The following is a 16,184-nucleotide window of genomic DNA, read 5'->3' as shown; positions in this document are numbered from 1 at the left end:
CAGCAGCCCTCCATCTCCATATTCCCATGGTCTCCCTGCCCCAGGTGTACCCTGGAACTGGAACATCAGGACCAGCACAGTGGGGAGAACTGCCTAGTATGCAGTCTTGGAAGGCCTGAAGCTCTCTCTGTCCTTAAGGCTGAAAGCTGGGGTCTTTGTATTTGACTCTCTGTCACTGCCTGCCCTCTGGTCTGACCAACTGTGTCCTAGCTGGCCTGTTCTCCCAGGGCCCTTGGCTTGGGATAATAGCACTCCATGACTTCTTTTTTTTTTTTTTGAGACAGGGTCTCACTCTGTCTCAGGTATGAGACAGGTTGGGGTACAGTGGTGTGATCTCAGCTCACTGTAACCTCCACCTCCCAGGTTCAAGCGATTCTCCAGCCTCAGCCTCCCAAGTAGATGGGACCACAGACATGTGCCACCATACCCGGCTAATTTCCATGACTTCTTATCCCCGAGCAAAGGACACAGCTCACCTAAGGGTGATCAGTGGTTTCCTTTTTGAATGTCAACATTGCTTAGAAGCATGCATGATCATATAAAAATTATTTTTATTAAAATAGAAAAGCTTTCCAGTATATTGCATTAAAGACATTTATACAGAAAAAAGGCAATTGCAACAAGCATGCTACATCAGCACTGACATATTCTGAAAGCTTTAAGTGCCCATTTTTCAGCAACATTTTGGTATAATACGCATATCCCTATGTATTTCAGAGGGTACATATAATACTGAAAAAATACTTCATGTAAAATCTAAGTTCATGTGCATACACACAAGAAGTATTACATCAAATAGCTTATTTCAAACTGTGAAACACATTCAAAGTATTCAATTTCTTAGACAACATGCATACATTTTAATACTCAGCTTGACACTTTTAAATATATAAACCACAATTCTTTATACTTCTATATCAAAAAAGAAAGTCAGACAGAACACTTATCTACATTGTGCATATCACAAAAAGCAAATGTGTTTTCACGAATGGAAAGCACTGGGTTAACACACATGATTGTCATTTTACAAATATGGCTATTCACCTTCTTCATAATAAAATAGAAATATAATGTATTATTTACATGAACTACACATTATTTCACTTTTTGGCAATTATATAAGTAGCAGCAATTGGTTTAAAGATTGATGTTTAAAAACTCTACATTTAACTTGGATGAATACCGATGAATATATATCTGGTTAATATAAAAATTGCATAATGCAAGATGCTTTGATGCAATGTCACTTCTCCCTTTCACAAAAGTCACAGACACAAATCCGTGACCAGTGAGCCTGTTGCTTACAACATATAATTATATGAGTGTCATTTAATCAGCTTGCTTTTGCATAACACAGTAGTTGGGGTTCTGAATTAAATTTCTGTAATTTAATGCAAATTTGCCTGATAATTTACATAATTTACATAATTTCAAAGATGTTTTATCTATGTTTCATATTCTTTAATGGCAGTGGCTCTTCACTGGGACCCCTAGCTTCTAGCCAGAGTAGGTAATTATCTGTAAACAAAACAAATGCAACGGGAACCTTAAATACTTCAAAAAGAACTCTGAAATGAAGTTTGTGAACCTGATAGTACAGTGAATTATCTTTCTAAAAAGTGGTCATCTCATTTCCCAGCGATAAATTTGCTTTAGAGTGGGGGACCCTTATGGTGAGGAAATGTAAATCATATGGCAGTGGTCTACCAGGAAGAGACATTCTGTTTTCATTAGTATTTGGAACAACACATTTTAACATTTGTAAAAACAAAACAAAAATCCTACTAATATTGGCGGATTAAAAAAAAAAATACTGTGTGGCGAATAGAGGTGACATGTGCCTTTCCTTGGCCAATATTCAACTACAAACCAGCAGTCCTGAATGTCTTTTTCAAGGCAGGAGAGTGAGGTGGAGGAGCATTCTGCACTTTCCGTGGGCAGTCAGTTATATGTCCAGAGCAAGTGCAAGGCAAGGCCCAAGCTGAGGGGAAGGAGGAGGGAGTGGCAAGAAGGCCTGGCCCTGACACCGGCCGATGGCACACTGCTGGAGACCTGTACCTGGGAAATGATGAGGGCAGAGAGAGGGACATGGGACGCCAAAGTCGGGCTGTCAGAGTTGATAAGGGACTCAATCTTCTCTGCTTCTTTATTGCAGGCTTCAATCTGTGAGGAGAAACAAGGTTCCCTTAATATAAAACCACAGAACGTTTTCAACATCAAGCCAGACAAATTCCACGTATATCCTAAAAGTAGCGTGGCCTCAGAGGGCATTTACTTTCTCTTTGTCCTTCTGTTCTTATCCAAAGTAACATTTTATTATAGTTTTAGTTTATTACATAAATATAGCAGCATTAATGGAAATCAAACCAGAAAAGAAATAATTGGCCATGTGTTGTGGCTCATGCCTGTAATCCTAGCACTCTGGGAGGCCAAGGTGGGAGGGTAGCTTGAGCCCAGGAGTTCGAGACCAGCCTGGGCAATGTAGCAAGATCCCATCTCAAAGAAAAGAAAAGAAGAAAAAAGAAAAGAGAAAGACAAGAAATAATCCACAATGCCACTGCCCTAATCAATCAACTGTTTTCATTTTTCCACACCTGTTACCCACACCTCTTACCCACATTTAGACTTTATCCTTACATGGTTAGTTAGGGTCACACAGAATACAATTTTAATGTCCATTGAAACATGAAAAGGAAAACAACGACGAGATGAACTTCCTAGTGATTCACAGACTGCTTGCCTTCGTTCCCTTCCCTTGAGCCCTCACTGCCTTTGATGTTGAAACTTGGGTCTACGTGAGTGGGGTTCTACATGTCTCCAGACTGACAAAGAAACACTAGAGCCCACATGACCAGCTCTGATGGGATCTTCCTCCACAGTGGGCACACAGCTCTCAGGAGACTGGAGTCTTTTCTGGCTTTATCACTGCATGACCTGCACCAGTTCCTTCCCCGGCTTGGGCATCAGCTGCCTCGTCTGTACAATGGGTGGATTAGAGACAGTGATTTCTCGGACCCCTTCCAGCTGTGCACACTCCCAGTCACAGTATCTTAATCCCTCCCCTGCCCTGGTGCCTCTGCATCCCACTGTCAAATGTGCACCAGGTCTCAGCCACTGGCAAAGTGCTCAGTCCTTTAGAGATTGCCTTGCTTTTCTCCCTCCTGTCCCGCTGAACTTCCCAAATGCCTCCACTCCCTCACCCACGGATCCTTCCTCGGTCCTAGTTTGTGCCCACTCCCTCCTAGGTGCACCAAACTTGAAAGTGACAAGATGGCTTCACAACATGTGCTGAACTCACCTGCAGAGCTTTTGGATAGTGATCGACGGGAATGATCAGGATCACAATTTCTGATTCAATGCTGAAGTATCCAAACACATCACACTGTGGGACAGACACGTGCATGCGGATTTTCTGAAGTATTTCCAGAACTGTTATTGGCTTTTTATTTGTTACCTGGAAAGAGAAAACATGTATTACCTGAAAAAAAGAAGAATTCCTATGACTGCCTAAGCTCCCTTGCTTTGGGCTGCCAGCTGAGGAGGCTCTTTTGACCGCACAGCCCTCAGCGGAAGGCCCAACCGCAGCTTTGCTAGGCCAAATTCTGAATCTCCAGTCCATCACAATGGGGTTTTGCCTGACTGAGAAACTCTGTAGTGAAGATACATACTTTCACCAGAACCACTTTTGCAAAAAGTGACTGTTCTGAGGTAGAGGTCACAGGGTTTTTAAAAATACAGGTGTTTGTAATCAAAATGGGGCTAAATCTCTAGGTTGTGGCAAGTGTTGGGTGCAACATTTCTGGAGCCCTGTGATGGTGCAGAAAAGAGAGAGGGCAGAACTATGCAGGGAACGGGCAGGGCTCCAGAAGATCCCCTCAGGAGGCACGGGGACTGGTGTGAGGGGAGGCGACCTCAAAAGCACCTGGGCACCCACCAGTCTCTGGCTACCTGGCTCTGCCTGCAGCCCCACCTATGCTTACTGTGCCAGCAGGGGCCTTTTCTAAGAAAGGCTCACGCTGACTGTGATGTGCACAGCCAGGGTGTAGGGGGGAGGAACATGGGCTTGGGAGTCAGCCAGCCTGGGTGCAAACCCTCGTCCTACTGATTAAGGGCTATATGGCCCTGGGAAAGTTGCTTTTCTGAAGATTAGTTTCTTTATCTATGAATGAGGACAACACATTCTACTCTCTAGGATTACTGAGAGGCTTAGCAATAAGATTTCAATAGCATCTGAATATAAAGCAATTTACCTTAGCAATAGTATCCAGTTTTTCTTTGTCAAATAAAACTCTTAACATCCCAGCACATAATGGGCAACAAGCACCTGTATAACAGAAACCATTTTATGTGCGTTCAGAATTAGAAACAAAGAGAATTTAAAATCCTTAGTGAAATGTCCAGCCCTTCATTTTGGGCAGGAGAGTTACAGTGTCCTTCCCAAAGACTGTACCTTCATATAAGCTCCTTGACCAACCTGGAGTCCTCTCATCTCTACATTTACCAAAATCCTTTCTCTACCCCTGCTTTTCATCCTTCACCACTCCTTGGAGTGAGAAGGCTGTGGTGCAGATAGCATAGAGACAGCTGGCTTTTCAAGAGACCTGGGGCCTGATCCTGCTCTGCCTCAAAACTCACTGTGTGATTCTGGGCAAATGCTTCTGCCAGGCCTTGTTTCCCTGTCTGCAAAATAAGGGAGTTGGTGTTTCAGGGGTTCCATGAGTGTTTGATTCAAATTTAATTTTTTTTTTTTTTGAGACAGAGTCTCGCTCTGTTGCCCAGGCTAGAGTGCAGTGGCGCGATCTCGGCTCACTGCAAGCTCCGCCTCCCGGGTTCATGCCATTCTCCTGCCTCAGCCTCCAGAGTAGCTGGGACTACAGGTGCCCGCCACCATGCCCGGCTAATTTTTTTGTATTTTTAGTAGAGACAGGGTTTCACCGTGTTAGTCAGGATGGTTTCGATCTCCTGATCTCGTGATCCGCCTGCCTCGGCCTCCCAAAGTGCTGGGATTACAGGCGTGAGCCACCACGCCCGACCGATTCAAATTTAATTTTAAAAATTATTTTAAACTGCTAAAACCCATAACAGAATATGGCATAATCAAATATAATATTATGCCGTATTTTCACACGACAGAGATTTAACCAATCCATTAGCAGCCTCTCTGCCCTGGGCCCCTCCGATTCCCCTTCATTTCGTGTCATCGTACTTGCTGCCATCTGGTTTAGTGCAGATTTGCATGGCAACTTATGTTTGGTCTGTCACCTCCCTCAGAACATGGTCTCCAGAAGGAAAAGGGCTTTGTTTTTCTCACTGCTGTGTCCCCAGTGCTTAGAGGAGCGTCTGGCACATAGTGAAAGCTAAATAAACATTTGATGAATTAACGGATGGAGGAATGAACCTGTTAGATCCAGATTAACCTGTTCTGTGCAGACTTGGAATAAAGTCTCTTCTGCTACTTCTGTTTGACTAAGAGTGTGAGATTGTAAGGTAAGCTGTTTTAAAAAACTGTTATTGCTAAAAACAGTCTGTATGAAACAAAACTTTTCTGATTATATGCAACTAAAACAATTAAATTAGATGTTAAGGCCAATCTAAGACAACAACTATCTTCTATTTCTCTCAATTTCAAAAGTTTGTGTTCATCAAAACTACTTTAATTATTCATTAATTAGTAATTCGTTATTTGTTAACTTTGTAATAAGTAAACATTATGCATTTAATAACCCTAATTTTCATAATTGAATACTGCTTTATCTGTTTATATATTGGTGTCTGGTGTAAGATTTAGCTTGAGAAAAGGCTGCTGTATTGTTTTAAAATAGCAGGACACCAGATGATATCGAAGGCAAGCCCTAGTTTTTTAAGGTCAACCCAAAGTAGTGAGTATGATCAGCATAAGAATCTCTTCAAGACTTTCTGAAAAACGTAAATGAGCTCTCTTCTCAATGACTCACTCTCTGGAGGTGGATAAGCAAATCTTCTCAGTCCTCCCCTGTCCACCCCGATACTGCCAGCCTACCCGGTGGGATGATGGGTTTGCATCCAGCTGCCAAGAGCGAAGGACACTTGACAGAAGCACACTCGGCGACGGAGCTGTGCTCTGAGAGGACTCCGACGGCCTGGCAGTCCCCATAGTAATCGACTGCCACGCGATCCGAGTAGGCAGCACACACACTGCTGTAGGTCTCACCATTGTGCCCACATACGGGCTCGGTTGCTCTGCAAAAGGGCTGAGGGCAAACAAATCACATTTAGCCTGGAAATGTCTATGTTGTACCTTTCCCAACCAAGAGTACACAGCATGCCTCCCTATTTTCAGGAAGGAAAAAAGACACAGGTATAAATTATGAGGACCTCTTAAGTTCCTGAGGTGGGCTAAATGCTGGGGGTGGTGGTGGCGTGGGCAGCAATATGGGTGTCTCCAGATGAGCTGAAAGATTACTTTTCTCAGCCTCTCTGGGATCTGGGTGCTTATTCCATGTGAACTGATAAGAGATAAAAATCTTCTTTCCTGCTACCTCTCTCTGCTCTGCTCAGACTTCTGTTAGTATCCCAGAAGCGCCTCTTTAAGATGACCAGATCAATCTTCATGCAAATGCAGAGGTCTTATCATTTCATGCTGGGTATGGGATAAGGAGAGGGAGGAGTTGGGGGAGCAGTGGGGTAGACAGACTCTGGAGCCAACAGGTAGGTCAGGAATAGATCAGAGAAAAATCACAGCCAGGAGAAGGGAACAAGTAGGGGAAGACAGAATTCAGGGTAGATGGGATCAATGCAAATGGCACAGGGGCTCTGAGAGAAAACAAGCATGTTTCAGGGAGACATCATGATGGAATTTTTCTAACCATGAAGACCAGAGAATGTGAAGCAATCATTTTAAGTGTTAGCTGGTTGTGGGCAGCGGATGCTAGGCCCAAAGCACGGCCCCAGGGAGAGGGGCAAGCATAAAATCAGTGGTGCATGTGAGAAGCCTCAAAAGGAATTGTCCTTGGTTTTTTCTTTTTTTTTAGATGGAGTCTTGCTCTGTCACCCAGGCTGGAGTGCAATGGCATGATCTCGGCTCACTGCAACTTCCGCCTCCCGGGTTCAAGCGATTCTCCTGCCTCAGCCTCCTGAGTAGCTGGGATTACAGGCATGTGCCACCATGCCCAGCTAATTTTTGTATTTTTAGTAGAGATGGGGTTTCACCATGTTGGTCAAGCTGATCTTGAACTCCTGACCTTGTGATCCACCTCTTCTGCCTCCCAAAGTGCTGGGATTACAGGCGTGAGCCACCGCGCCCGGCCCAGTTTTTTTCCTTAAAACATAAATGCAGATTCCATAAACCTACAAAACTGAGAGATAAGCTGATGTAAAAAGACATTAAGTCTTAAAGAAAATTTCAATGACTTTTCAGTACCTTGGGAGGTGGGACTGATGTGGGAAGAGTGGGAAAACTTTTCTTGGTTTTGACTCACATTCTTCCTGCTTTGTTTCTTAGTGAGGGCCCAGAGAACTATGAGAAGTAAGAATGATGTTGACCATGCCAGGGTTGTGAAACTTTTAAGTTCTTTTCCTAGGAGTGGACTGCAAGAAGCCACTCTCTGTTCTTGCTTGTACACCAGATGTGCAAAGGTACACACACTAGCAAGATAGCTTCCAGAGTTAGGAGAAGGAGCCAGTCTTCCTTTTTAGTGGAGGACTGGGTGCTATAGATTTGACAGGATTCACAGAAGACCCTCGGCTGGTCTTACTGTTGATTCATCTGTAAAATATCATAAACCAATTTTATCCGTAGTGTACTTTGTTTTGTCAGCCAAAGCACTGTACCTGGCAGGGACCTTTGTAAGAGAGGCTTTTTCCTCTTTGGTATAAAGTGCAGAGATTGTTGTGCTCCATGTGGTCTGTGTCACAAACAGGATCTTGGACCTGGTCACACGCGAGCTGTCTTGGTACACACTCATACTGGCTACATCCAAATTTATCAAAAGTCGTCAGGCAGACCTGTGGTTTGGGTATGCACCTGAAAAAGACGAATGCAGCACCATGAGCCAATGTAGGGAGGGACTGTGGTGGGGCTAGCAAAGCACTAGATGAGGGATAGGAGGCTGAAGAGAGAGCAAGAGATGAATCAGGACAGTCCTGTCTCCAAAGAGCTTATGTAGAGTGGGAGAGTCAAGCCTGTATATACAGTAGGCTAAAAAGTAGAAAAGATGTGCACAAAGCTTGCGGGGATGAGTCATTCTCGTCTGGGGAGCCTGAAGAAAGCATGGGGAGGAGGCAGTGTTCTAGCTGGAGGCTGGGGGGGCAAAGGGGGCAGCATGGGCTTGCCAGGCTGAGAGAGCAGCCATGAACACAGGTGTGATGCTCAAGGAATGTGGTGCTGGGGAAATGGCAGGTGATCCAGAGGGCAGGAGCCAAGCAGGCACAGACAGACCTATAGCAGAAGGGCCATGATATGAGGCCAAGAGATAGGCTGGAGCCTGAGGCTGGAGGCCCTTGCATTCAGTAACAAATGAAACACTTCCACGGGCTTAACTTTCAGCTTGGCTAATATGAGTCTACCTTAAGAAAAGGCCTCAGCTGGGCACGGTGCCTCACGCCTGTAATGCTAGCACTTTGGAAGGCCGAGGCGGGTGGATCACCTGAGGTCGGGAGTCGAGACCAGCCTGACCAACATGGAGAAACCCCATCTCTACTAAAAATACAAAATTAGCCAGGCATGGTGGCGCATGCCTGTAATCCCAGCTACTCAGGAGGCTGAGGCAGGATAATCGCTTGAACCCAGGAGGCGAAGGTTGCGGTGAGCTGATATCGCGCCATTGCACCCCAGCCTGGGCAACAAGAGCAAAACTCTGTCTAAAAAAAAAAAAAAAAAAAAAGGCCTCACTCTTTGTCCTAAAATAATTCAGGTTTTTGTGCCTACAAGACCGAGGATCTGATACCAGCTGGTTGCAAATGACTGAGAGAATGCCACCATGAAGCTGGTCTTTCCTAGTAAGATGAGGACCTTGCTTCATTCTCAATTCCTGAGCTCCTTCAGAGGGGCTAGGGATGATGATTCTTTTCTTCTTTAGGCTTTTTTCTGCTTTCCTAATTTTTATAAAGGGTTTACATAACTTTCTATAAGAAGATAAGACCCATGAAAATGTTTAGCTTTCACTGGGTATTTTAAGTACTAAGGTATATAAATTTTAGTTTATAAAATAAAAGAGGAAGCATATAGTAGCTAGTGTTATTTTAATTTCAAAGGAAATGATTTATACTCTTTTTAGGGCTAACCTGCACCAAAATCACTACCACCGTCACTATGCATGAAATGGTTTGAAATTACAATGCACTTAGTTATGGTTTTATGGAAATTTAAAATATTTGAAGAGAAATAATGGAAAATAATATTTAGAACTTCATTACTTACTAACATGCCAGGGATGAGAAACAGGAATATCAGGAGAAATTTGGTAACTTTGAGAGAAAAAGCTTGATCAATTTGAGTATATGGAAATAAGAGGATCATAAAAAAAAGGTTGAGAATCTGGGGGCAAATAAAAGTAAACGTGAGCAGGGCAGAGACTTGATCTGTCTTGTTTGTTGTTATGTCCTAATGTTTAGAAAAATGCCTGGAACATCAGTAGATACTTGATGGATGAATACAATTCTTAACAATTATTATTATTATTATTATTATTATTTGAGACAGAGTCTTGCTCTGTCACCCAGGCTGGAGGGCAGTGGCGTGATCTCAGCTTACTGCAACCTCTGCTTCCCGGGTTCAAGAGAGTCTGCTGCCTCAGCCTCCTGAGTAGCTGGAATTACAGGCGTGTGCCACCACGCCCAGCTAATTTTTATATTTTTAGTAGAGATGGGATTTCACCATGTTGGCCAGGCTGGTCTTGAACTTCTGGCCTCAAGTGATTCACCCACCTCTGCCTCCCAAAGTGCTGGGATTACAGGTATGAGCCACCGTGCCCGGCCACAATTAATTATTTTTTGAACACATAATACAAGCCCATGGTGAAACTGAAAAAGTACAACATGGTATACAGTGAAAAATAGGCCTCCCTTCTACTCTTGTGTCCTAGACACCTAGTTCCCTTCCCTAGAGGCACCACTATTACCAATTTCTTTCTTTTAGTGTTTTTTGTTTTGTTTTGTTTTGTTTTTAGATGGAGTCTTGTTCTGTCCCCCAGGCTGGAGTGCAGTGGCACCATCTCGGCTTACTGCAGCCTCTGTCTCCCGGGTTCAAGCAATTCTCCTGCCTCAGCCTCCCGAGTAGCTGGGACTACAGGTGGAAGCCACCATGTCTGGCTAATTTTTGGTAGAGAAAGGGTTTCACCATGTTGCCCAGGCTAGTCTCGAACTCCTGAGCTCAAGCGATCTGCCTGCCTCGGCTTCCCAAGGTGCTGGGAATACACGTGTGAGCTACCACTTTCTTATTTATCCCTACAGATATATTTTATGTAAGGATAAGCATTTATATGTGCTAATCCAAAGGGTATGTGCATTTAAAACTGCAAATTTGGCCAAACTGCCCTCCATAGAGAATGTACCAATCCTCCTCCAGCTCCCTCTTGTATGAAAGCAGCTATTTCCCTATACCATGTTATCAAACTTTAGCTTTGCCAGTCTGATAGATGGAAAGTGGTACACAATTGTAGTTTTAATTTAATTTACATTTCTCTTAACATGAAGAAGGTTAAGCATTGTGGCAGATTGGCTAGATGTTTATCAAATTCACTTCACTTTCTTCCTGGGTATGTATATAAATTATATCTCCCAGTCTCCCTGGAATTCATTATGGCCAACGGACTGAGTTCTAGACAATGGAATGTGCCTGGAAGTAGTGATGAATGTTACTTTTAGATGTGGCCTATTAAAGCTTCTTAAGAGCAATCCCCACTATCTCCCTTCTTTTATCTGCTGTCCAGATGCAGAAGACACAGAAGAGGACTATGAGGCTGTAGGAGAAGACTGGGTCACTATATGGAAGGATCCCACGTCTCTGAATGACCACATGGAAAGCCGCCTGCTGAAGAAACAAATGGGCTCTATGTAATTATCTACTCTGTGAAATTATTGATATTTTGGAATTTGTATACAGTAGCTGGAATTACTTACCCTAACAAATAAAAGTACCTTTTCAAATGTTTAAGAACCATTTGGATTTCTTTTTTTATGTTTATGTCCTTGGTCCATTTTTCTATTAGGTTATTGATCTCTGTCCATTTTGATATTAGGTTGATCTTTCTCAGATGGATTTGCAGGGGCTCTTTATATTACAAGGACATCAGCGCTTTCTCTGTGATATTCCTTCCAGTGTGTCATTTGTCTGTTACCATGCAGAAAATTTTGAGGTTCATGTAGCTGAATTTTTCAATCTTGTATATACTCAAGAAGGCCTTCCCACTTTGACATTTATTTTTATTGTTTTATTATAAAAGCAAGACAACCTCATTCAGAAAGGCTAGCCAATGGATAAAACAAATGAAAAAATATTAAGACAATCCTCAATTCTACCTCCCAACACAACCTGTATTATTCTTTCAGCTTATTTCTTATGCATTGCGTCCTGTCTTCTTTCCATAGAAACTTTCTTGGATTAGTTTCATTGTATAAAATTTGGCAGATGGATGACTAATTCTTTGCCATTTATTTTAACACATGAGAGAGTCTCCCCCTCCCTCCATATTACACCAGGGTTTTCAGGATGGAGAAGCAGCAATTGCTTAGGAAAGCACTGTGGCATTGGAATGTGTATTGTTCAGGTCATTCAGGCAATCCAATAAACACTCTGCTTCCAGAAGGCTGTAACCTAAGGGTCAGCAAGATGCCTGCCGTGGTGGCTGCCCCATACAGAAATCCATCATTAAGGCTGGGGCAACTGTCTTCTGAGCTCAAGTGAGGAAACAGCAGAGAAAGGAGCTCAAAACAAGTAATTTCAAATAGTAGTGAAGTTGCATTTCCAGAGATTTCTCATGTCCAATTTCTAAAACAGTTGCATATAACTAGAAGAAAATTTCCCCTGACTATCAGGTGACAGCTACTAATAAGAATACACCCTTTTCTCTTGTCTCTTCTGCTACCTCTCCTTATGTTACCTTTTCTGTTTCAGTCTTACAGAACTGCTTTAGTGCCCAACAGACACCATGTTATGGAGATAACAATGTTACGGAGATAACATTTCCAGCAGCCATGACTCTTGTTAGTCTGCCTTCACTACCACTTCTTTTTCTCTACTGCAAACCTTGCCTGCAATCTCTTACTCATCTTTCTAGATTCAGCTAGGTATCACAATCTCTAGAGGCTCCCCCAGGGCCTTCCCCAGGCTGCATTAACTGCCCTACTTCTGGGCTCCCAATCGCAGCACCTTATCAAGCAGCTTTACATGGCTCTCTTTCCCTCCAGACTCCAAACTCTTCAGGGCAGCAGCGATTTCTTAATTTACCTTTCTGTTTTCACTGTCTGGTATATGGTAGATGCTTTGTAAGTACTAGTCTTCAGTTGAATAAAATAAGAAGCCATTTGACTTACCTTTGGTTTTTTTGGCAGGGATTAGGATTACATGGATCCTTTGACATGCATGATCCAAACTCAAACTGATGGTCTTGGAGGCCCACACAGCGAGCAATGCAGGCACTGGGGTAAGTGCGCCCATTCTGCCCACATACAGGGACAAACTGATCTGCACAGTTACAGGGCAGACCTGAGGAGAGGAAACAGCCTCAAAAATATGTATGTGTATATTCCCCCTCCCCTTATATTTCCTTGTTAAGGCAAACCATGAGCAATCATGTGAAGGTCTCACGTTAAAATAGAATTGTAAATTAAGTCAGGAAAAACCTTCTCTCCGATCTCTGACAGGGTTTTTTTTTTTTTTTTTTTTTTGAGATGGAGTCTCGCTGTGTCGCCCAGGCTGGAGTGCAGTGGCGCAATCTTGGCTCACTGCAAGCTCTGCCTCCCAGGTTCACGCCATTCTCCTGCCTCAGCCTCCGGAGTAGCTGGGACTACAGGCGCATGCCACCACGCCCAGCTAATTTTTTTTTTTTTTTGTATTCTGACAGGGTTTTTAAAGGCAGCAATGCTCTGAATAGCTCATCTGCAAGATGGCTTTCCTTTGTCCTTTTTATTGCCAACTAGTTGAGGGCCCCCTAGACTTTGATCCCAGGTAGAGACCCCTATTAACAAGGCTATAGGTAGGGAAAGTAAAGACTGTTTCTCCTGATTTGGCATATAAAATCTAGAATTTAGATGTTTGAAGTCTGGTGTGGGGATTTCTTGAATGTTAAAGGCTAATACCAAGCATAAGAAAGAGTGGGCTGGGCACAGTGGCTCACGCCTGTAATCCCAGCACTTTGAGAGGCTGAGGTGGGCGGATCACCTGAGGTCGGGAGTTCGAGACCAGCCTGACCAACATGGAGAAACCCCATCTCTACTAAAAATACAAAATTAGAATGGCATGGTGGCGCATGCCTGTCGTTCCTAGCTACTTGGGAGGCTGAGGCAGGAGAATTGCTTGATCCCAGGAGGCGGAGTTTGTGGTGAGCCGAGATCACGCCATTGCACTCCAGCCTGGGCAACAAAAGCAAAGCTCCTTCTCAGAAAAAACAAAAAGAAAGAGTGAAGGTTGTAGGTTCCTTCCACTCTCATGTCTAAGACAGTAACTTAGAAAATTACTGTAATTTTGAGACTTACAAATTGTTATGAACTTCTTTCTCTGAGTCACATTTGGAGTGGGACACTGGGTCCCAAGAAATGTGGCACAGTTTTGGGTCAGTAAAATTTCCTTAGTCTGCTAGATCAACAGTCATTGACTTAATTTATCCCAGGACACCAGGGGCCACACACTATAGGAAACAGGGGTCTTGCTAGTTGTAAAGCTCAACTTCTAAAAACATTTAGACATTAACAAAAAAATTTTAAAAAGTCTTCCTTGTAAATCCTTTGCTTATTCTTTATCCCCATATCCCTCTATGGTTTCTCTAAGCAGAATGAATAGTCCTTGCTTGAGCAGGGCAAAGGATAATAATAAAGGATGATGATAATAAAGCAGTGAAGGCTGGGGTAGTGTTCGTCCTACCTCTACTTCCTTACCAGTGTGCCATTCACTTCTTATTTCTGATCCCCTTTTTATTTCCAATGGGCTGGAGGTACAAGGTTGGTAAATCCTTACTCTCCTCTCCTCCACTTCTCCTCCACCCGGCCCCCACCCCTCTCCACATGTAATACTAATTCTGGGGAAAGAAGAATCAAGTTGCCACTGCAGCAGTGTGAAATGGGGGCAAGGGCAGCTACCTAGTAACTTTTTACCCACAACCAAAGGTATTTTAGATCTAGGAAAAAGCAGATACCAAGATATACCAGCAGACTGTGCTGTTGCTATTGGCAATAATAGCTTCACGAGAGGAAAGCATCCCATCTCACTAGCCTTTTCACTTATTTATGTTGGTGTAAGAATAATAAGAGCAGCAAAGCATAGGAAAGTCAAGAAAGTAATATTCTGGGATATTATTGTTTGTGGGAGTCTAGATGAAGAAGTAAGCTAAGGTAGGCTGAGGAAGAAGGTGCTGAGAAACAAACTGAGAACATGCATGGACATTTTAGATCATAGCAGTAGGGGTAAATGGGGTATTCTACCAGGTAGAAAAGTTCAATTTAATTAAACCCATTCCAATCACTGGCTCTGTTCTTTTTGACTCATGAAATTCCAGAATATTAGTGCTAAGGGCCCTAAGACACCATTTAGTATAATACCTTCAATTCATAGAGGAAGAAACTGAGATCCAGGGAGGAAAAGCATCTTGCCCTTAGATTCTGTATTGATTTTATTGTGTACATTTGCAGTTAAGACTGGAGAAGCTGCCTTGAAGGGAAAAATGTGTGCAAAGAAATGATGGCCCCTGAGGACAGACTCTGGGCGATCACAGTCACCTGTGAAGGTACGACGGTCATCTTCTGAACTGTGCTCACTGAGGCAAAGGCGGGTAGAGCACACCAAATTGCCAGCAAAACAAGAACAGACATTGCAGTCAATACTAAAGGATGTTCCATGACCTGACAGAAACAGAAAGAAAATGTTGATCTATATCATGCATTGAGAAATAGAGCACGTATTACAATTTTAATAGTTCAACAAGTTTTAAAATGGAAATTCCTTTTTTTTTTTTTGAGAAGGGTCTCATTCTATCGCCCAGGCTGGAGTGCACTGGCGTGATCCCAGCTCACTGCAACCTCCGCTTCCCGGGCTCAGGTGATCCTCCCACCTCAGCTTCCCAAGTAACTGGGACTATAGGTGTACACCACCACATCTGGATATTTTTTGTATTTTTTGTAGAGACAGGGTTTCACCATGTTGTCCAGGCTGGTCTTGAATGCCTAGGCTCATGCCATCTGCCTGCCTCGGCCTACCAAAGTTCTGGGATAACAAGCATGAGCCACTGTGCCCAGCCAGAAATTCTTGAAAGATGACTTCTGAATATACCAACTAGAGTAAAATCTGTGGGATTTATATTTTCATATTTGCCTCCTATCGTATTCCTCCAAGCCCCTGAAGTGCTGGTCTTACCAGGGTGCTCCCTATCCTCTAAGAATGTTTCTGGCTGCCCCTTCTGCTTTGAAAGCTCATCTGTCCAGGGCCAGACCTGATGCCATCTTTGGATCAAAGACTCTTCTGATGCCCTGGCAGGAATGCCCAGCTCCCAGAAGAGCACTTGGTCTGCAACTTTTTTTGGCTCAAATTCTCTTATCTTAACACATAAAGCATGATCTCATCCCCCGTCCCGGTTTCAGCTCCATAAGGCACTAGTATGCTCTTTTGTACAGAATAGGCATTTAGTCAGTGAAATGTTACAGAAGGAATGAATCTGTCCTGATATTTTCTGTGATACAAAGTACCTACCTTCATAGTTTAGTCAAGCAGAATATGGATTGAGAGATAAATACCTGACTTGCTCTAAGGCAGAAATTTGAGAGCTAATTTTAGCCAAGAGCACTCTTCTTTCTAATCAAATCTCACACAGAAGAGTAAACCAAAAAGCATATAAAAGCTGAACTACTATGGTTGAAGGGGTAGGGGATGGGAGTAGAAATGGGGTAGCAGAGTGAGCTTGTGGGGAGGGAACAGATCCTAAAAAGTGGTGTTTTTTCACAATTGTTTGAAATCATATATTGACATGAATAGTTGTTGGGGCTACAAGCAAAAGATGGTT

General features: G+C 43.2%; 1 protein-coding gene across 3 annotated transcripts in view; it reads right to left on the bottom strand.

Moving 5' to 3' along the window:
* Nucleotides 1-531: 531 nt before the first annotated feature.
* RECK (reversion inducing cysteine rich protein with kazal motifs) overlaps nt 532-16,184 on the bottom strand; it is an 87,543-nt gene continuing 71,890 nt past the window's right edge. For all 3 annotated transcript variants that reach the window (NM_001316345.2, XM_017015207.2, NM_021111.3), the window contains 7 exons: nt 14,908-15,030; nt 12,511-12,682; nt 7,810-8,002; nt 6,020-6,230; nt 4,251-4,324; nt 3,299-3,454; nt 532-2,163 (listed from right to left, as the gene is read on the bottom strand). In NM_001316345.2, the coding sequence (NP_001303274.1) occupies nt 1,942-2,163; nt 3,299-3,454; nt 4,251-4,324; nt 6,020-6,230; nt 7,810-8,002; nt 12,511-12,682; nt 14,908-15,030 (1,151 nt within the window). In that variant the 3' untranslated portion in view covers nt 532-1,941. The remainder of the gene's footprint in view (nt 2,164-3,298; nt 3,455-4,250; nt 4,325-6,019; nt 6,231-7,809; nt 8,003-12,510; nt 12,683-14,907; nt 15,031-16,184) is intronic.

Source organism: Homo sapiens, chromosome 9 (genome assembly GCF_000001405.40).
Source record: "Homo sapiens chromosome 9, GRCh38.p14 Primary Assembly".
NCBI classification, from domain to species: domain Eukaryota; kingdom Metazoa; phylum Chordata; class Mammalia; order Primates; family Hominidae; genus Homo; species Homo sapiens.
The sequence above is the reverse complement of the archived record's forward strand: the minus strand, read 5'-3'. Positions and strand labels throughout refer to the sequence as shown.